This window comes from Homo sapiens, chromosome 1 (genome assembly GCF_000001405.40).
Source record: "Homo sapiens chromosome 1, GRCh38.p14 Primary Assembly".
Classification (NCBI taxonomy): Eukaryota; Metazoa; Chordata; class Mammalia; order Primates; family Hominidae; genus Homo; species Homo sapiens.
This window is the reverse complement of record NC_000001.11, coordinates 94,724,375-94,746,585: the sequence shown is the minus strand read 5'-3', so window position 1 is coordinate 94,746,585 and position 22,211 is coordinate 94,724,375. Positions and strand designations below refer to the sequence as shown.

The following is a 22,211-nucleotide window of genomic DNA, read 5'->3' as shown; positions in this document are numbered from 1 at the left end:
TGTTGAATGAACTCAACTCCAAACATGTTAATGTAATATGAAACATACCGATGGTGATCGGGCCCCAACTTTCTCTCTTACTTCCTCTCCTGCCTATATGCCTATCCTTTCCTCAATAATTGGCCAAATTGCTTCAAATTATTGCCTTTAGCAATGCTACTTACATGTCTCCAAGAATTCTGGTTAAAAGGAGTGGGTACCATGGGATGGATTTCTCATTAACTGATTAGTACCCATCTTAGCAGGACTTGCTTTATCTCATAGTCTAGCAGAGAACTATAGAGTGGAGGTGGGATGGGACTAAAACAAGAAGATTTTGATGGAGAGGGGAGGTGAAGCAAAGAACCTGATGTGAGCAGAGTCTAGGGAAGTAAGCAGGAAGGTGAGTGACCCAGGAAGAGCAGATGTAAGGATTGAATGACAGGGTGAACATGGTGGCAAGTGTGAGCATTTTCTGCCTTGTCTCACCCAAGGGTATCTCCCCAGTAGGTATTTAGACTATTCCTCCACTCACCCTTGTAGCCTACCAAGAGCAACATGATGAAGGGCTTCTTGGCCACTGCTCAAGGGCTACTTCCTATTAGATAAAACAAGGAAACAACAGAGGTAAAACCTGCTGGCTTCCAGGTACAGCCCAGGCTCATATCCAGGAGTCCTTGGCTAGACTTTTGTGTGGCAGATAGGGCACTGGGCTTGGAGTCAGAAGACCTGGCTCCAGCCCAGCTCTGCCATGGACCAGCTATGAGATCTTCAGGCAGCCTCAGTCCCTTCATCTGTCTAATGACATCAGGCTTCTGCATCCTCCCTTTGGGAGACCTCACATACTTCTGTGACACCATCTACAGCTACTATGCCAGAGTCCCCTAAATCCATATCACCAAGCCAGACCTCTCCCTTGAGTTGCCGAGCCCTGAACCCAAACTTCCCCAAACATCTCTGTTTGGGATTTATATGTCCCTAGAACTCAGCATGCCCAATCAATCGTTCACTTTCTTCCCAAACCTGTTCCTCTTCCTCATCCTACTTAGGTGAATGGCACCATCATCTACTCATGGGCCCAAACAGAAATCTGGATGTTTGCCCCAGCTTCCCCTACACCATTCACAGTCATCCAGTCACAAGTCCTGTATGTCCTCTTAAATATATCCTGAACCATCCCTACTCCCCATCCCCATTCCCACTGCTCTGAATGAAAATCTCTTCTCTCTCCTGGACCACTCAGGATCTTCCTGGCTTATTCCCTCAGTCCAGCATCTGCACTGGCTGATTACTCTTTTTTTTTTTTTTTGAGATGGAGTCTCGCTCTATCCCCCAGGCTGGAGTGCAGTGATGTAATCTTGGCTCACTGCAACCTCCTCCTTCCAGGTTCAAGTGATTATCCTGCCTCAGCCTCCTGAGTAGCTGGGATTACAGGTGTGTGCTACCACGCCTGGCTAATTTTTGTATTTCTAGTAGAGACGAGATTTCACCATATTGGCCAGGCTGGTCTTGAACTCCTGAACTCAAGTGATCAGCCCGCCTTGGCCTCCCAAAGTCCTGGGATTACAGGTGTGAGCCACTGCACCTACCCATTCTGATTACTCTTTCTAAACTGCACAGCTCATTCATGTACCTGCCTTACTTAAAACCCTTAGCAATTACCTATTTATTTCCCTAGGGTAAAAATCCAAATTTCCTTACCATGTCCTGAAATATACTCACCTGTGATCTGGCCCCGAGTTCCTCTCTGGATTTATCTCCTGTCCACCTCCCCTCCCACACTTCACACTCTACTTCAAGCCATACTCAGCTGCTCAAAGCACCACACTTGGGCCACGCTTTCTCTTTTATAACTTGAATGCCCTCCTGCTTGCCTGGCATTCCTTTGGTCCCCTTCTTTGCCTGCTCAGCTCTGACTCCCATCAGGAATGAGACCATATTCCTCAGGAAACCTCCCTGGTTCTCCTGAGCCAGAATGGACTCCCTCTGTGCTCTCTTAAGTTGTGGTGCCCTCCTGCCATGGCAGCTAGGCCGGGGCATTGCCTGTTTCCCTTGGTGTTCTGTGAGCTCCTCAAGTGTGGGCAGCACATCTTAGCTTGTTCTGTCTCCCCAGGGTCTGGCATGGTACCTAGCCCTTGATTAGTGCTTGCTGAATAAATGAATGATTGAGTCTCTGTCATCTCACAGAGTACTTGCAAGAATTAAATGACATGTGAAAATACTTTGTAAACTGTAAATGTGTTAGGGACATTTCTGAGAGTCAAGGGGTTTAGAGAGGAAATGAGCATGCTAGGCCTCTGGACAGTGAACCGAAAGGATGTTGAGCTGTGGTGTTCTAGGAGAGTACCAGGACTGCTCTGGACATGACATACTACCTGGGACTACTTGTGAAAGGAAATGAGCATCCTGAGAAATCACTTTGGGTCCTGTGTACTCAGGGAGGATTGTTTTTATATGGTTCTGGTTTGTTCAGGAAGCACAGTCTGTCCTCCAGTCAGGCACTCAGTGAGCAAATGCATTTGTAGCTTGAGGCCAGAGCTTCCTTATGTTTATATGACTCTTTATTAGGTGAAACATGCAGCCTCTTGGAACAATAAACTGTCTTTGTTACAGATGTACACTAGATTTTGATGGCATTTTTCCAGGGACCCTGGGAGCATCTGTGTTCTCGTGTTCTTCTTGCCTGTGAGGCCTCTTCTCTCTGAGGACAGATGGTAGGACAGAGAGAAGACAGCAAATGGAAAACAAAGGCTGCTATTTTTTTGTGGGGTGTGTACAATATCTATTCTACATCTCTGCCCATCCCCATTTTCTCCTCCTCCAGAGAGCATACAATTAAGGCTATAAACTGAAGTGGAGCCCCCATTATTTACCCCTAAAAATGAATACAGATCTCAGCCTCTCATTACCCCTTGGTTAGAAAGAGAGAGCATTTTGGTCTGTTTGGGCGACTATAACAAACATACCTTAAACTGGGTGGCTTTTAAACAACAGAAATTTGTTGCTCACAGTTCTGAAGACTGGTAAGTTCAAGATCAAAGCACCAGCAGATTTGGTGTCTGGTGAGGGCCCACTTCCTGGATCATAGATGATGCCTTCTTGCTGTGTCCTCACATAGTAGAAGGGCAAGGCAGCTCTCTGGACCCCTTTCTTTCCTTTTCTTTTCTTTTCTTTTTTCTTTTCTTTTCTTCTCTTTCCATTAATCCGGTCCATGAGGGCTCCATCCTTATAACCTAATCACTTCTCAAAGGTCCCATCTCCTAATACTATCGAGTTGGTAATTAGGATTCAACATATTAATCTGTGGAGGAAGGGGACACAAAAATTCAGACCATAGCTGGTAGTGATGAAGATAGAATGAGCCAGGTCCCAATGTGGGGCCAGGTGTGAGGGGGGCAGTAGCTGGTCATGGACATGTGGATGTTTGCTGAGTGATGGGTGAGCAAGTCCCTGCCATCTCATAGGGACACTGTAAAAACTGCCCTCTTGATGACCTTAGCAGTGCAATCATATTAGCAATGACATCCACCTTGAGGAGGGAAAAGATGGGTGTGAACAAGAAGGATAGTTTCTTTCTCCTTACAGCATCCATTATGTAGCATAAAAATTAGGGCCCCCATGTATCCAGGAAAGCAGTCAGAGCATTCATTATTCAATAACCATAGGTGCTTATTCCATACTGTTATGGACTGAATCGTGTCACCTCCAAATTCATATGTTGAAGCCCTAACTACCAATATGACTGTATTTGGAGATAACACCTTCAAGAAGGTAATCAAGGTTAAATGAGGTCATAAGGATTGGATCCTAAGCTGATAGGACTGGTGTCCTTATAAAAAGAGACACTAGAGATCTCTCTCTCTCTTTGTATACACAGAGAAAAAGTCATGTGATGACACACCAAGAAGGTGGCTGTCTGCAAGCCAGGAAGAGAGGCCTTACCAGAAACCAATCCTGGTGCACCTTAATCTCAAACTTGAGCCTCCAGGACTGTACGAAAATAAATATTTGTTGTGTAAGCACCCCCAGTGTATGCTATTCTGTTATGGCAGCCCTAGCACACTAATATAAATGCCTACTGCCTGCAAAGTGCTTTGCCTTTGAGGGTTGCAAAAGAGGATCCCCTCCAGGGATCCATGGTCTCATTGGGATTTTCCTGTTTGGTCTGTGTCCTGTTCTTGAGTCTCCGCAGGCAGCATTTCTTCCTGTGACAATATGGTGTAAGACAAAATTGTGGCCTGCCATGAAGTTGTGAGAGAAAAGCATCCCTCATTTCTTCAGGAAAGGCCACTGCCGTTCCCTCCGGCTCCTCTTCTCAGGAGTTTGTGCATTCATGAGGTAAGTGACAGAGTCACTCTCAAGCTCCTGCTGTATAAAATTTCTGTAACAAATAGATGCTTGTCCCAGATGGCTCCAGCCAGGCTGATGGGGAGGATGTGGGTTCCCTAGCACTTCCCAGTTTGCAGCATAAGTGTATTAAAACTTCCATGTCTTACTTAAAATAGAACTCCTAAAGGCACACACATAACTTCAAGTTTTCTCAGCATTTCATGACTTTTTTTAAAAAAAGCTTGGACCAATTCAGTTTTCACTCTTGCAAACAGGGTATAAAAGCTTCTGTTTCTTCCCCAATGTCAACGCTTGGTAATCTTATTCTTCTTCCCAGTTTTATTTTAAAAGTAATGCCCACATGTGATGGAAGTTACACTCAAATAGGACAAAACACTATGCAAAGTCTCCTTCTCCTTGTCCTCACTCCCTCCCACTCCCAACGGCAATCCACTTTAACCAGTTCTGGTTTCAGTTCGTTAGGTGGTTGCCACAAAATACTGAGTAATATGCTTATACCTCTCTTTTTTGATTTATCAACTTTCAACAGTATTTATTGACTCCTGCCACATGAGGGTGTGTGTTATCCTCCACTGCCTCTGTGTCTTTCCATCTTCATAATTTTAGACTGTATTCCACTTGATTCCTTACAAGAAAAATGAGGAACTCATTACCCCATTTTCCCCTCCACCCTTCCTACTTCCTTCACCTTCTAACTTCTGCCTTTCCTGGATTCTCTTTTGTATTTACTGGGTTTGTAATAATTATATTCTACTCTGAAACCATAGTTAAGTCTTCCCTGCTTTGTTTAAAATTTGATTCTAAATATTGAAAACCAATATACAGTTTCTTCCCCAATGTCAATCCTGTGAATATATAAAAATTATTTACTGAAGAATGAAGTAAGAAATAAATAATCCTAGGCAATGCAAAAGAAAATGAATTCTCTTTTCCTACCCTAATCAGTTTTTCCAAACTATGTCCTAATTTAGGTTGCTTCTAATTCTGATTTTTGTTTTATTCTGGGGCTCCTATTTGCTTTTCGTTTTTAAAGTAATTGACAATAGACACATACATCCTCTTTACCATATCATGAAGATCATCCAGATTCTTAAGCATACCATTTTGAATGACCTAATTTTGTCTCATCATCTTCTAGGTATGTACCACAGTTACCATCGTATTTTTCTAAAATTTTAATTACATCCTTAAATTATTTCTAATGTTTCTTGGATCCTATGAATTTCTTTTTCTTAGATTCCTCTTTTATCTTACTGGAGTGTGCACACAGGTAATCTTTCAGAATAGGGGGATAAACAGTTGAGTTTTTATTTTGTCTATAGGTTAATTCTGAAGAACAAAAATCAATAATGAATTTTTATAATATAACTGTATACATATTATTTACTGAAGGATCAAGTAGTGTGGTTCTGAAAAACTATTTGCTCTGACATTTGAATGGTTTGACTGGGATTGATGATTCTAAATGGAAAATCAAATTCCCTTGGTACTACAAAGGCATCGATTGCTTCACTAGGTTACTCTTCTGGCATCCAAAATTACTGACAAGAAGGCAAAGCTTGGGCTAATTCTTATTTTTCTAGAGTATCTACTTTCTGAAATCACTGAGAATATTATTTTTATATTTCTAAATTTTATCACAGTGTATATGGGTCCCTTTTTACTCTTTTTGCTCAATATTCGGTGGGTCCTTCCAGTCTGAAATTCTTGTCTTTCCTTTGATAATGTTTCCCCTCATCTTCACTTTTTTTTTTCTGGAATCCTGCTAGATGGATGTTGGACTTTGTGAAATGATCCTACATTTCTTTCAACTTTTCCCTCATAATTTCCATCCTTTCTTCATTACATTTGGGACTATTTCCTCAATTTTGTCTTCCAACCCGTCTACTGAGACATTTACTTTCAAGAGCTCTGGCTGTCCTTGCTTATCCACTCATATTTACATGCATATGTGCACAGGTAGAATATATGGACCCCACTCCATGCCCCCTCTCAGAGTCAAAGCAAGAAAAGCTTTTTAAAGGGCAATTTTGTAATATCAAAAAGAACCAGGGTCACCCTCTAATAATACTACTGTATAAGTTTCCAATCCACTTGAATGATGTTGAGCAGCAGCTGGCAAACCAGCCACAGAGGAGGCAGAAGAATACACACAGATTTCCCTCACTGCACACACACACATACCCATGCTCGTGTCTGGCCACACATCTCACATACTGACTAAGAAGGAAACATCAGCCATCCAAGGGCTTAGAGTTCTCCCATTGCTGGCTTTTATTCTTTACTGTGATCCTTACATGGAAAGCTGTCTCTGGTGGTTTCTCCATCTTCATATGACTCATTTTGGTTTACTTTTGTGGAAGCGACTAACTTGGGAGCTAGGACTTTTCCCTCCTGCCAGGCCCTGAGGTTAACCACAGTGTTCCAAAGCCCCCGGGTGCTGGCCAGCCACTTGGAGGCATGCCCTTGCGTCTGTTCGTCCTGTCCTTGTGGTTACTGGCCAAAAGAGGCCCAGACCTATGTTCCAAACATGGCCAGCCTATTAGAGAAGCAGCCCCATGGCCTGACATGCTCGCTTTCCCTGTGTCATCGCTGATGTTATGAGAAAGAGAACATTGTCTTTGGACAGCCTCAGCAATGGCTGTCCAACTTGACTTGAGTAGAGAAGCCAGGTTCTTCCCAGGATCTGGGTGATGAGACTCTTTGGAAATGCCTGTGGTCGAACTACATTTTTGTAGAGATTAACAGTTAAAACATAATTACTCACAATAGCCCTGTAATTTCCATGTGAGATGAGAAAACCGATGCTCAGCGGTAATCAATAAATTGTCCCTGATCATTCAGCTTGAAAGTAGTAAAGTAGGGATTAAGACCCAGATCTTATGATTCCTAATCTTGTATTTTTCATATTACCCCAAGAGATGTTTTTAAGATTTTTTTCTTAATGTGATAGTTGCTGGGATTAGACAGGAAGCTCTTTATTCCTCTTCAGAGTTTCAGAGAAATCTCTGTTCTGGTTGCTAATGTCCAGCATCTCACTTTGTTGTGCTTTGGATCAAATCCTAAATTTGCTACTTAACAACTGTGTGACCTTGGTCAAGTTCACACAACATCTCTGAGTTTTAGTTTCCTCATCTATAAGATGGAAGTAATAATACTTACTTCCAGTAAAACCTCATCAGGATTGTTGTGAGATTTAAATGAGATAATGTACATCAAGCACTAAGTAGGAGTTCAAAGGGGTGGTGGTGATGGTGGTTGTCAATGTGAAGGGAATTATTCTGAAGCATGGTGGATCCATTAAACAGCCCATCCAAATTTCCTTATCAGATGGGTTCCTATTAAACTATTCTCCTGTCTTTTTAGATGTCAGCTCATCTTCAGAATGTTAATTTAAAATGTAGCTACTTTGTAAAGATAGCAGTCTTGAGCCATCACTCTTGCCAAAAGCAACTGTAGAAATGTTATGTAGCAAACAAACAAACAACCCCATTAAAAAATGGGCAAAGGACATGGAACACTTCTCAAAAGAAGACATACAGGTGGCCAACAAGCATATAAAAACTGCTGAACATTACTAATCATTACAGAAATGCAAACCAAAATCACAATGAGATACCATCTCACACTGGTCAGAATGGCTATTAAAAAGTAAAAAAAAATCACAGACGCTGGAGAGGTTGTGGAGAAAAGGGAATGCTTATACACTGCTGGAAGGAATGTAAACAGGTTCAACTACTGTGGAAAGCAGTGTGGGGATTTCTCAAAGAACTTAGAACTACCATTCGACCTAGCAATCCCATTACTGGGTATATATCCAAAGGAACAGAAATCATTCTACTAAAAATACACATGTGCCCATATGTTCGTTATAGCACTAATCACAATAACAAAGATATGGAATCAACCTTGGTGCCCAACAGTGAATTGGATAAAGAAAATGTGGTACATACATACCATGGAATACTATGCAGCCATAAGAAAACCAAAATCATGTCCTTTGCAGGAACACGGATGCAGCCGGAGGCCATTGTGCAGGATCAGAAAACCAAAAACTGCATGTTCTCACTTATAAGTGGGAGCTAAACATTAAGTACACATGGACATAAAGATGGGAACCATAGACACTGGGGACTAATTGAGGGAGAAGGGTAGGAAGATGGTGAGGGTTAAAAAACTAGCTGTCAAGTACCATGCTCACTACCTGGGTGATGAAATCATTTGTACTCCAAACCCCAGTGACATGCAATTTTCCCATGTAACAAAGCTGCACATACACCCTGAGCCTAAAGTAAAAGCTGAGGAGAAAAAAGTGTTGTTATGTGTCGGACCCTGGGCATTCAATATGTGCATAAGCAGTCAGAGGACAGCAAGCCCCCTTCTTTCTTGTCCACAGGAATGAGGTTCCTTAAGAAGGAATGGGAGCTGTGTGCATAGTATGTAGGGCAATTTTCTGATGACACAGCATCCTTTCTATCAGGGAGACAGGGATTTGTTAAGTGAGTACCAAGTGCTCAGAGGAGTGGGTACCATTTGTACTTGGTACATTCGTGCTTAACAAGGTCGTAGGCAAACAAATGGAGGTTATTAATAACAGCTTTTGCATCTTGGAGAAAATGAATTTCAGACAAAATCTTGGGCCTCGGTGCTCCTTGAAGTGAGGTAAACAGGAAGCTGGGAGGAAAGTAGGCATCTTGTCTGCAGCAAGAGGACTGTAACACTGGCTCCAGCCGTCCATGGGGTGGAAAAATTAAGTCACTTCCTGTAAATTGGCACAAGTCCATAAAGACACCAAACACAGAGAAAGGGAGGGAGGCTAAGAAAAAAAGTACACTTGTGCAAGAAAAGATGGGTGTCTGTTCACTTAGGAGAGACTTGTCTTTATGATAACATAAAGTGACCACACCCAAATGTACATATGCAGTAAATCAAGGGTCCCTCTAGTGCAGGGAGGCTGACAGTGGGGCCTTGATTATGTGTTCACCTAGGGAACTCTGAGAAGGTAGGACATCACAGGCTTTAAAAGCAAGAAGCCTACTTGCTTTTGGAAGTCATGGTGAATGGAATTTTAGGATTGATCTGTGCCAACCTTGTGTATAGAGGAAGAATGAGGGAGAAAGAGGGAATTTCTCTGGCAAGCTAGGGAAATCTTCTCTGAGTAATCAGATGCATTGAAGGACATGCCTGTCTTCAGACCCAAGTGAGTGAAAAATGCTTTGAGTGGACTTCAGAGTGGTCTGATTTTGCAGCACTTAAGAGACATACATTTAAAATATTGAGAAAGTTAATAACAGAAGATGCAAGAGAAAAAAGCATAAGTCATAACTTCAGAGCAATGGTGCTCAACAGTGAAGAAGGGGTGATTTTGCACCCCCTTCCAGGGGACATTTGATAATGTCTGGAGATACTGTTGGTTGTTACAACTAGGGGGAAGGGCTACTGGCATCTAGTGGGTGGGGTGCAAGGGATGCTGCTCAACAGGACAGGCCCCTCCCCATCAACAAAGAATTATCTGGCCCAAAATGTCAACAGTGCAAAGGTTGACAAACCCTCATTTAGAGCTATCATCCTTTACACCACAAATATTAACCATTAGACAATGTAACTAGTTAAATGAAAAAACACCGTAAGTGAGAACAGAGGCTTATGCCAGAAACAGAGTAAGTCATGTAATTAATAAAATAATTTCTTGCAAATAAGAAATCCTAGGTTTTCCTCACAAACTCCTTACCCTAAACTTTTCAAATATGCAGTAAGAATAAGAGAACCATTAAAAAAAAAAACTCTGCAAAATTTTATAGTGACATTGTTACAACTTTTAAACATAGTATTTTTTATAGTTTATAAATCACATGAATTGTCTTATTCAATATTTACAATTTGGTGTAATTGTCCCAATTTCATAGACTGTGAGAATTTACATTTTGTTTTTTTTTTTTTTTTTGTATATCTATGTATCAGGCAATGTACTAGGCACTGCGTTTGTTACCAAGATAAATAAAAATTTATATTAAGATGTTCAAAATTTCCTAGGAAACACAGACATAGGATAGCTATAATAAGAGAAGTATAAACACAGCCACAGGAGAATGGGGGTGGGGGGACCGAAGTCATTTGCCTAAGGTACAAAACTAGCAATTGGAAGATCTGGGACTTGAGATCTGGGTCTTCTGAATCTAGAGTAAGTCCTCTGTCTTGGCACAGCAATATAACCCTCTTAGCTTTTCCAGAGAAATAAAAACAAAACTGAAAAATATTCACTCAAAAACACATGCATAAATTGCCAAGTGGGCCAAGTATAAAAACACTGTGGAAGCGGTGATCAAGACCAGGATATGAAAAGAGAAGATAAGACCTGGCAGACAGGAAGACAAAGAGGCCTCTTCCAACCCACCCTCGGGCTGTTCTTGGGTTTGGATAGTTATGTTAAGATCCACGCCCCCATAGCAATCTGACTTTGAGTTGGAGGCACAGGAAACATGAATCTCTTGCGGTTAGGCTAAGTCCCTTCAAATGCAGCCCAGGTTTCACCTCCCGTTGAGGCCGGGTGTGAGGAATTCTCCATTTAGGAAGACGGGTCTTAGGCGAGTGGGAGGAACTGCCTAACAACAGTTGAAGTAAATATGAGGGAAGACACAGCAAATGGCCAGCTTCTCTAGCATTCAAATTCCTCCGGTCAGCAATTTCTTGCCTCCCTTCCTCCCCCAAATCTGGGTGGAAATATGAAGCCACAGTTCACTCCCCCGTCACTCATTCTGATGACAAAAAAGAAGTTGATTCCAGCCTATCATTTCACAGCTGTTTGCTTCCACTTCCCAGCAGACATGCTCTTTGCCGAGGGACTTGGTTAAATGGCTCTGAGAGAGGCACCTTCAGGCAGCTCGGGCTCCTGGTGGAGGAGGGAAGCCTGGGGACTGCAGCCCAGGGACGAGGCCACTCCCTTTGTCCTTTCGGGCAGGGAGGGAGTAATGGGACCCGTGCCAGTGATATAAAGTACTCATTTTCCACTAAGGCCAGGGCTTTGTCCTGGGAAGAAGGAGCAAGAGGTAAACACGAAACCTGATTTGCCTGTGCCATGTGGAACTACAGAACCTTGATGTTGTCCGGGCCACTCCTCCCTTCCTTTCCACTCCTTAGCAGGAGAGGCTGAGCTAAAAAAAACCCCTGCTTATTCCCATCCTGTCCCGGTGCCCCTGTCTACAGCCACAGTTGATTGGACCAGCGTGGACACCTGACCCAGGCTGGGCCAATCACATCCTCTCTCCTGCAAACGTGGAAATGGCGCCTCCAAGACCCTGAGCCGTGCCAAACTGGAGATTCTTCACCTTCGCTCTATGTTGAAATTGCCCAGGAATTCTGAAAACACTGTCTATGAAAAGAGTCAAACTCTAAAATATTTAGAGATTTATTATGAGCCAAATATGAGTGACCATGGCCCGTGACACAGCCCTCAGGAGGTCCTGAGAACCTGTGCCCAAGGTGGTCCTGGCACAGCTTGGTTTTATACATTTTAGAGAACCATGAGACATCAATCAAATACATTTAAATACATTGGGTCGGTCCAGAAAGGCGGGACAACTCAAAGGTGGGGAGAGGGATGGGGGGGAAGGGGGGGCTTCCAGGCTACAGGTGAATTTAAACATTTTCCGGTTGACAATTGGTTGAGTTTGTCTAAAGACCTGTGTCTAAAGACCTGGGATTCATAGAAAGGGAATGTTCAGGTTAAGATACAGATTGTGGAGACCAAAATTCTTTCAAAGTCTTATAGTGGCTGCCCTTAGAGACGATAGATGTCAAACGTTTCCTATTCAGATCTTAGTTAATCTCTTTAGGTCAGGAAGAAAAAGACCTAGCTATGTTAATAAAGTTTCTTTACAGATGCAAATTTTCCCCCACAAAGAACAGCTTTGCAGGGCCATTTCAAAATATGGCAAAGAAACACGTTTTGGGGTAAAATATTTTGATTTTCTACTTTGTCTCTTAATGTTATGCCAGAATCAGGTTGGAAAGTAAGCCAGAGTCAGGTTGGAAAGTAAGTCACCATATATAGGGTTAAATAAAACTCATCGATGAGAATTTATAATTTGTAGGGCATGACTCCCCAGACTCCTTAGATAGGAATTTGGGCAAGATAAAAAAAAAAATTAGAATTTAGTCCTCAACACACCACACACACACACACACGTGCGCACGTGCAGTGGCCAGGCATGGTAAAAAAAAAAAAATCAGAGCTTAGTCCTCGATACACACCATACACACACACACACATACATGTACACACACACGATGGCCAGGCATCCCCCCAGATTCCGGTTTTGTTGTTCTGGGTTGGACTGATCTAAGTTAGCACTTGCTCTGCAGCTGGGAGAAGCATCAGTGCATGGGGAAGTAGTCACACAGAGGACAATGAGGTGGACCTTCAGAGAGAAGTTGAAATGAGAGATCTACACCCTAGAAATAGTAGACAGTGATCTTGACTCCTGATAGCTTTCTAGTTCTGGGTTCCAGGCCATCCTCAGGCCCGATTTCGTTCCTGCCTTTGAATCCTGGCTTCGAAATGTTTCTTGCCTTGAGTGGCTTCTGTTACATACAACAAAAGAACTTTCACCAAGCCATTCTCATAGCCAATCCATCACCTGTCACAATCCTGATGATTCTACCTCAGAAATCTCAAATCTCATCCCTATGGCCTTTTCAATAGAGTTCTCACCATGGCCTTCCCTAAGTGGACTCTCTGCCTCGGTCCTCTTTTCTCCCATCCAGGCTCCATAAAAAACATATTTGATCCACTTGTTCCCAAACTTAAAGTCCTTTACTGGTTCCTTGTTGCCTGTTAAAAGTAACAAAATAGTTTTGTATAAACTGACCTGTGAAAATATGATACTAACTGAAAAAAATTAAGCTGCAGATCAATAGGTATAGGATACTTAACTTTTTGTTTCTAAAACGTGATTTAAATATGCCTGCATAAGTGTAAGAAGAAGAAAGGATATCTATCAAACTGTTAGCAGTGGTTTCCTTGGTCGAATGGTTTTCCATGGGCAGAGAGGGGATTTCTACTGTGACTTACTTCATATAAGATTTAAGAAATGATGAGGGGTATTGGTAATTTTAATTTTTTTCCATTTTCTTCCAATACTTTTTTTTTTTGAGATGGAGTCTCACTCTGTTACCAGGCTGGAGTCCAGTGGCCCAATCTTGGCTCACTGCAACCTCCGCCTCCCGGGTTCAAGTGATTCTCCTGCCTCAGCCTCTCGAATAGCTGGGACTACAGGCATGCGCCACCACGCCCAGCTAATTTTTTTGTATTTTTAGTAGAGACGGGGTTTCACCATGTTGGCCAGGATGGTCTCGATCTCTTGACCTTGTGATCCGCCCACCTTGGCCTCCCAAAGTGCTGTGGTTACAGGTGTGGGCCACCGTGTCAGGCCCCCAATACAAAAATTTCAAAGGTCCTTCACATTTTTGCTTGTGTCATCTCCCATCACTCTGTGCCACATACCCTCCAGCTATTCTGAACTTCTATTCTTCCCCCAAAATAGCATCCTCTTTCAAGTAACTATGGCATCACCTATTATATGCTTCTTTCTGAAGTGCCTGTACTCCATTCTTCATCAGGAAAGCTTCTGCTTTTCTTTTTTGATCCAGATCAAATGACACCTCCTCTTGGAAGCCTTCTTAGGCTGATCCATGCTTATCCCATATCAGGGTTAGTTATGCTGTCCCAGTGGCCCCATGGTCCCCGGCTACTATGTCTGCTATAATGCACCAAATTGTGTTAATGGTTGATGTGATCACGTGATTTTGCCCCAACTCCAGGTGAATTCCTTGGAAGATGAGGGCCAAGTCTTATTCTTCTCAGTCTCTTCTGCATCTAGCAGAAGAATAATGGTTGCACAGAAAATCTTGGTTCAGTGGTTGAGTGAATGAATGGATGAACAGGCTCTTGCACACAAAGAAGAGACATGATGTATTTGCATCCTTCCCTGCTTCAGCCAGGTAAGATCTACTAGCTCAAACTTATCACAGCCCTGTTTCTGAGCTGGTCCCACGAATAGAGTTTTTGTTTTTCACCAGCAAGCAGGCTGTTTCCAAGCTGGGATGATAATTGTTGATGTGGCACTTTAAACATCACAAAGAACAACTGAAAATATGTTTCTAGGGGTTAATGACTAAGAAGAAAATAATGAAGCTATGCCTATTCTGAAAAATGTCTAAGTGATGGCAATGCTGATTTCTGTGTGGGTGTTCACTTCTCCCTCTCCCCTATCTCTCTAAAGAGAATCTTTGATTACAGAGCCCCTGATTTCTGTCCTCTTCCAAAGAGAAAAGATTCCTTATTGCTGGGAAAGAAGCTAAGTCAAGCTATCTAATAAAATCCTAAGAGAGGAGGAGAATAGGGCTGGAGGAAAAAGGCAGTCATGGAAGCAAGGGGTAGAGGAATTTTCTTCAGGGATATGAGAAGTCTCATTGGAGGAACTATGAACAGAGAAGAAACTGGGAATTTAGGCTGGGCACGGTGGCTCATGCATGTAATGCCAGCACTTTGGGACGATGAGGCAGGAGGATTGCTTGAGCCCAGGAGTTCAAGACCAGCCTGGGCAACAAAGTGAGATCCCTGTCTCTACAACAAAATAATTAGCTGAGTATGGTCGTGCACACTTGTGGTCCCAAGTACATGGGAGGCTGAGGCAGGAGGATTGCTTGAGCCAGGAGGTCGAGGCTGCAGTGAACTATAATCATACTACTGCACTCTAGCCTGGGTGACAGAGTGAGATCCTGTTGAAAGAAAAGAAAGAAAGAAAGAGAGAAAGAAAGAAAGAAAGAAAGAAAGAAAGAAAGAAAGAAAGAAAGAAAGAAAGAAAGAAAGAAAGAAAGAAAGAAAGAAAGAAGGAAGGAAGGAAGGAAGGAAGGAAGGAAGGAAGGGAAAGAAAGAAAGAAAGAAAGAAAGAAAGAAAGAAAGAAAGAAAGAAAGAAAGAAAGAAAGAAAGAAAGAAATTGGGAATTTAGTAAATGTTAAAGAGTTCCTATCTATGTTTATTCTCTGTTATGACTTACATGAGGATGAATAAAGAATGCATTTCCTTTTAAATTATATTTTGGATATTGTCCTGTGCTTCTTAAATACAACACTGTCCCAGTGCCAACACACAGGAATCTAGGCTTTGTAAAATTTACACCTATAAATGGGTGGGAAGGGCCTGCACGAATGCAAAAGTATGCCTTTCACCCAGGGCTCTGGTAGCTCCACATCTGTCTCTGCCAAAGAGAATGGAGCCAAGGCAAGTAGAGGTAGTAGAGGTCTATAACTGGTCAGTTCTGGATACAGGCGGCAGACAGCCTGGACAGAGAAACACTGGATCTTGGGAGTGGGTGGGGGAGGGCTACCAAAACAAGGCACTGTCCTCACTATTTTCTGGGACTTTTAGGCCAGGGGTGTCCAGGAACTCATGGTGGTGGGTTGGAGGAAAGGGAAACTCATTTTGGAACCAGTTTGCAGCTTGATGCTGGTACCCTGGGGCAGCCTCAGGTGGTGCAGGCGTCCACCCAGACCATTGGCACACCAGGAGCTGCAAGCCACTGGGCTATGGAGATCAATACAGGCAGGTGGTGGCTCTGAGGCAGTCACAGTTTCTAATATCCCACATAGAGTTTACTCAAAAAGAAACCTCTGTAGCTGGGTGTGGTGGCACATGCCTGAAATCCCAGCTACTCAGGAGGCTGAGGCACAAGAATCGCTTGAATCTGGGAGGTGGAGATTGCAGTGAGCTGAGATCATGCCACTGCACTTCAGCCTGGGTGACGGGGGGTTGGCCGGGCGTGGTGGCTCATGCCTGTAATCCCAGCACTTTGGGAGGCCGAGGTGGGTGGATCACGAGGTCAGGAGATCAAGACCATCCTGGCTAACATGGTGAAACCCCGTCTCTACTAAAAATACAAAAAATTAGCTGGGCGTGGTGGTGGGCGCCTGTAGTCCCAGCTACTCGGGAGGCTGAGGCAGGAGAATGGCATGAACCCGGGAGGCAGAGCTCTGTCTCAAAAAAAAAAAAAAAAAAAGCTTCTACAATACACTCATAAACCCCCCAAAAGGCTGCAGATCTTAAGATGAGAAGAGGGAAGACCCCTGGGGCAAGGCCAATGAGAGACAGCAACATAGATGGGTTAACTGTGGAGAGAGGGGCTCTTGATCGTGGCAGGGCTTGTGGGTCCAGGCTTGCTACTGAAAAGTTGAACTTGAGGGAGGTAATAGCAAAGGTAAAGCAAGGTGACTTGACAAAGGAAGGCATCATTTTAGATGGGAAGTAGTGGGATGTACTGGATGGCAAAAGCCAGAAGACTGGGGGTTGAAGCCTTGCCCATTGCTGACATTTTAAATAATATTGGGCTCTCCATTTTCCCATCTGAAAAACAAGATCTCCAATATCTTAAAATGTTCGGCACATTGTGTGCCTTCATTCATTTATTCATTCTACAAAAGGGTTGAGCACCTTCAATGTGCCAGACACTAGGCTAAGCGCTGGGGTCATGAGGTGAGTGGGTAGATGTGGCCCCTGCCCTCATGGAGCTTACATTCTACCGAAGGAATCAAAATGTTGGCAAGACACTTGCTGCCTTCCCCCTTCCTTCCCTATCTCTTTCTTGTGGAATGGGCATCAGCCCTTGCATTTAGAAATTGCCAGCAGAAACAAGGAAAGACTCAGAAGACCGCTATCTTAGGATAGATAGGAAAGTGAAACTGATCTCCTGGCCATCCTGTCTAGCATAAGGGCTTTGTGGAGAAGCTGGAGAGCTTCCAGAACAAAGCCAGGAAATGATTATAGCCTCCTTCCAGGCCTTTCCAAGAAAATTATAAATCTTTTTCCAGGCTTCCACAAGAAGCAAAGATAATCAAACCAGCATTTTAACCACTCTTCTGACATGGGTAGGATGTCTGACAGGCCATGGCTAGAAGCTGAATAGATGATTAGAAAGGGGATCACAGGACAAAAATGAAAAGTACTGTGATGATCAATTGTAAAGGTAAAAATACTATAGTGGTGATTTAATCAAGGTTATATATACCAATTCTTTTTCTGCTCTATGGAGAACTGTTTAAGATACAACATATTTCTGTTGTAGCGCTTATTTCTGTTGTTTAAGTTAGACATGGAAAAGAACTTTTTCTAAGAATGCTGAGATGCCAACAAAGTGGAAGGTCATAGAGTAAAATCAGCTTTCTTATATTTGAGGGAATACACTTGCAGATAAAATAACTAGATAGTTGGCCGGGCACAGTGGCTTACACCTGTAATCCCAGCACTTTGGGAGGTGGAGGCAGGTGGATCACCTGAGGTCAGGAGTTCGAGACCAGCCTGACCAACATGGTGAAACCCCATCTCTATTAAAAATACAAAAATTAGCCAGGTGTGGTGGTGGGCACCAGTAATTCCAGCTATTCAGGAGGCTGAGGCAGGAGAATCGCTTGAACCCGGGAGGTGGAGGTTGCGGTGAGCCAAGATCACGCCATTGCACTCTAGCCTGGGTGACAAGAGTGAAACTCCGTCTCAAAAAAAAAAAAAAACAAGAAGAAGAAGTAACCAGATAGCCACATAAATGCTTGTTATCTGATTCTTTCCTTCAAGGCTAAAACCAAAGAAACACTGCCCAGTATCAATGATTATTGTCTTTGATATGTAAGCAAAACTGGACACCTGTAGGCTGATGGAGGTTTTGTCCCACTTGAAGACTCTCTGTGTATGTGATTCCCTGCTTGGGCCTCCAGTCCATCTGCTGCCCTCTCCATCGGGCTCACTGTCCAAGTGGCTGGCCTGCAGGGTCTGCCATGGGCTCCCTGGGTTGTGCCACTGGGAAGCACTGGCAGGCGATCCTCTGGAGAGCTGGAGGAAAGTGAGGCAGGATATCTATCCACCTCCTCCACTGATGGCTTGCTGGGTTCATTTAAGGAGGGCTGCAGCTCCTGTTGATAGACCTTTCCTGTAGCTGCAGTTCTTACTGCATTCAGGTAAATGTTCCTTTCCCTTGCACATTCAGGCTGATTGGTGGTCATGGACTGTTGCCAACCCTGGGGTTCCCTTAAACTTGCCTAGACTTTTGTAAATACTCTTTTAATAAACTACCCTTAGTCACCCCTTTGAGTGTACGTGCCATCTGTCTGCAGCTGGAATTCTGACTCATACTCTCCGAATCGGACTCGAGGAATTTCTAAAATTTCATTCAACATTTATTTTAACAAAAAGGCTTTGAGAAACTACTTTATACAAGCAATAGATACTTAAACACTTAGTAATAACACCTAAACATTTTTGAGTGATTGTGATATGTAATCATTACTGGACTAAACAATTTAGATGGTTTAATCATTGCAGCAGCTTTGCAGTGAATATGTTTTTAAACCTCTTTTCCTATACGGAAACAAATATTCATTACAGTTAAGTACCTTGCCTGAGGCCATGACACCAGTAAGTAGAGGAAACAGGATTCATATTATATTTTAAACATATTTTCTTGATGGTCTTTTATATACAATGGTAATTATAATAGAGTGTTCAGAAAAATAATGAAAAATAGGAGGAGGAAAGAACTCTACTACATGCCAAGCACTGGATAAAAAAAATCTAGGCTCTGCTTTCTGAAGTTAAAGTCTAGTAGGGCGGCAAACATACACAGATCACTGATGGCCAAGTTTATCCAGTGAACGAGGGGTGGCAGAAGAGCATGGTGGTGGCAGGGCAGGGTGGTGGTCATTACATGCAGTGATATGCTGGCAAATGTTTCACAATGGGCCCACCCGTTCCACCCTGTGTTAGAGTGCTTGCAGTTTCTGTAGTATAGATGCTTCCAGCTTGGCTGACTTCAGGCTATATGGCATCACTGAATGGGGAGCTGGGAAGAGATTTACTTGATTGTGCTCCAGCACACCTCTAAATTGATGTGCAAGGGCGGAGAATCATGAACAACCTGGTGTGTGGATAAGATCTGCTGCAGCCCAGGAAACAAGCAGGTGAGGGACCATGGGCGGGGGTGGGGATGAGGCTGGAGAGGAGCTAGAGAATACCAAGGGCAAGGCTGTGGTTGATTGGCTGGAGCTGCACTGTCCCGTGTGTAGCCACACATTGCTCCTCAGTGACTGAAATGTGACTGGTCCAAAGTGCAATGTGCTGTGAGGGTAAAGTAGACACCAGAGATTGAAGACTTACTATGAAAAAAGGAATGCAAACTATATCATTAATGCTTTTTAATATTCCTTATGTTAATAAAATTTATAGATGTCATTGGTTTGGACTGAGCAGGAGCACTAGGCCCAGCAGACCAAACCAAAGTGGAGTTATGCGTGCTGAAGTTCCACCCTATCAAGCCAAAAGTAAATTGTTTATCTGACCTTCTGAGAAATCAAGAGAGAGACAGATAATAGCCTAATCCCCAAAAGAGTCAGTTTTAGCCAGCATGATGAGGAAAGTGCCCTCTGCTTTTACCTTTACAAGGAAAGCAGCTTTGAAACAACCACTCTGATTTTTCATTCTGTTTCTGCTTTCTTCAGCCCTTTTCTGTCTATAAAATCTGCTCAGCCCATTGGAACACTTATTCTGTTTTATAAAATAAGATGTTGCCTCATTCTAGAATCACAAATAAAATCCAACTAAGATCATTAAACTAAATTTGTTGTTATTTTGTCTTTTGACAATTACATGTTAAGATAATATTTTGGATATATTGGGTTAATCATGTATGTTATTACAATTACCTTATTTTGTTTTACTTTTTTAATGTGACTACTAGAAAATTTTAAATTATGTATGTGGCTTGCATTGTATTTCTTTTGAACATCTCTGGGCCAGAGAATTTGGACTTCTTTAGCAGGCAGCAGAGAGTCTCAGAAGAGTTTTAAATGGATGTGGTCTGCTTCCAGTAAAGATCATCCTGGTTCCTTGTGGAGTTTGCTGAACCAGGCCAGAGGAGGGAAACTGTTGAGAGTCCAGGCCAGAGGGATGTGGGACTGAATTAAAGGCAGTGGAGTTGGGGATGAAGAAGGAGAAAGCAGAATGGAAGGTGGACAGAGACGGATCGAGGATGGTGCCCAGGTTTCTGGCTTGGGCCACTGTCTAGCTGGGAGTGGTAATAACAGGGATTAAAGTACAGGAGGGATGAATATTTCTAGGGGAAAGGTAATGAGTTCAGTTTCTGATATGATGAGTCTGAGGTGTGAGGGGAACATGCAGGTGTCCAACAGGCAGCCGAGCCCAGGAGGCTAGAAGCCTATGGGTTCCATCTTGAAAACGTATTTCAAATAAACCACTTCCTACCATTTCTATGGCTACTACCCAAGCTCCAGCCACCATAATCTCTTATCTGAAGAATTGCCATAGCAGTTGTTCAGATTGCTGGTCTCCATGCTGATGCATTTGCCATGTCTCTCAGTGTGGCAGCCTGAGGAATCTTGTCAAAAGCCACATCAGCACGTCATGCCTCCCCTTGTAATCTTCCGATGAATCACATCACACTCAGGGTTCATGCCACTCTGTACAGAGACCTAAGGCCCTATGCAACCTGGCTCCTCCTACTCTTTGAGTTCCCATTACTGAGGGAGACTCAGTGCCTCTGCTCCAAAGGCATTGGTCTCCTCACAATTCCTAGAACTTGTCAGGAACTCTCCTACCGCAGAGCCTTGGCACCTGGTACCCTAGCTCCAAAGCCCTTTGCTTAGATTAAGTTGACTCCCTCACCCCCTTCAGGGCTTTACCCAACGATCCCCTCTTTGTGAAGCCTCCCTGTTCATTCATCTAAAATGACACCCCTTACTCTTTCCTTCCCTTCTTTATCTTTTTATTAGCTCTCACCACTATTCATCATACATGTTACTTATCATGTTTAATGTTTGTCTCTCTCACTAGAATGTTAGCTCTATACATCAAAGATTTTGTCTGTTTTATTTTCCGTTGCAACTCCTGTGTCTAATAGTAGGTACTGGATTAATATTTGTTAAATGAACAGATGAATGACAGCATATCAGTGGGTAAGCACATAGATCCTAGAAACAGACCTGCTATTGACATACATCCCAGCTCTGCCACTCATCATTGTGACTGTGGGCCGATTATTTAACATCTCCGAGTCTTCATTTTCTCATCTATGAGATGGAGAGATTAATAGTAACTTCCACAAAAGATTATTGTGAAGACTCATTTATTCAGTACATGTGGAACCCCTAACAAGTGCCATGAGGTGTGCTTAACCGGGATTAAATAAGATATTGTAGACTTTGATGCTGGGTCTGCTACATTGTAAGCCCTCAGTAAATGCTTACATTCACTCAGTAAATGCTTACGAAGTTCACGTGTTGAAAACGTAATTCCCAGTGCAACAGTGTTGGGAGGTGGGGCCTTTGAGAGGTGATTAATGAATGAATTAATGTTGTTAATGGATAGATTAATGGGTCCTCATAAATGATTAATCACATCATCAATAACAAATCTCATGCATTTGTTATTGCAAGAGAGGAAGTGTTATAAAAGTGAGTCCGGTCTTGTGTGCTCTTGCCCTTTCCTCTTTCATCATGGGAGGATGCAGCAAAAAGGCCCTCACCAGACAAGGGCCCCTCGACCTTAGACTTCCGAGCCTCCAGAACTATAAGAAATAAACTTTTTAATTTATAAATTTAGCCAGGTATGGTGGTGCATGCTTGTAGTCCCAACTACTCGGGAGGCTGAGGCAGGAGGATCCCTTGAACCCAGGAGGTGGAGGCTGCAGTGAGATGAGATCATGCCACTGCACTCCAGCCTGGATGAGAGTGAGACTCTGTCTCAAAAAAAGTAAAATAAAATAAAATAAAATGAATAAATTACCCAGTCTGTGGTATTCTGTTACAGCAACACGAAACAAACTAA

General features: G+C 43.0%; 1 long non-coding RNA gene and 1 other non-coding gene across 8 annotated transcripts in view, besides 2 other annotated features; both read left to right on the top strand.

The window, feature by feature from the left end:
- Nucleotides 1-22,211, top strand: part of SLC44A3-AS1 (SLC44A3 antisense RNA 1) — a 203,881-nt gene that overhangs the window by 73,647 nt on the left and 108,023 nt on the right. For 4 of the 7 annotated variants that reach the window (NR_160780.1, NR_104131.2, NR_160781.1 and 1 more), the window contains one exon: nt 14,149-14,328. The exons of the other annotated variants lie outside the window; for them this stretch is intronic. This is a non-coding gene — a long non-coding RNA (SLC44A3 antisense RNA 1). The remainder of the gene's footprint in view (nt 1-14,148; nt 14,329-22,211) is intronic. 7 annotated transcript variants of the gene reach the window in all.
- On the top strand, nt 686-726 carry MIR378G (microRNA 378g). Its single transcript, NR_039620.1, has one exon. It is a non-coding gene; the product is annotated as a microRNA 378g (primary transcript).
- Nucleotides 11,437-12,379: an enhancer, noted in NCBI's record as "NANOG-H3K27ac-H3K4me1 hESC enhancer chr1:95199763-95200705 (GRCh37/hg19 assembly coordinates)". NCBI's record gives its function as "activates a minimal SCP1, AML or CMV promoter by ChIP-STARR-seq in primed H9 embryonic stem cells {active_cell/tissue: H9 hESC(primed)}" and the evidence as "EXISTENCE:reporter gene assay evidence [ECO:0000049][PMID:30033119]".
- Nucleotides 17,645-18,145: an enhancer, noted in NCBI's record as "H3K4me1 hESC enhancer chr1:95193997-95194497 (GRCh37/hg19 assembly coordinates)". NCBI's record gives its function as "activates a minimal SCP1, AML or CMV promoter by ChIP-STARR-seq in primed H9 embryonic stem cells {active_cell/tissue: H9 hESC(primed)}" and the evidence as "EXISTENCE:reporter gene assay evidence [ECO:0000049][PMID:30033119]".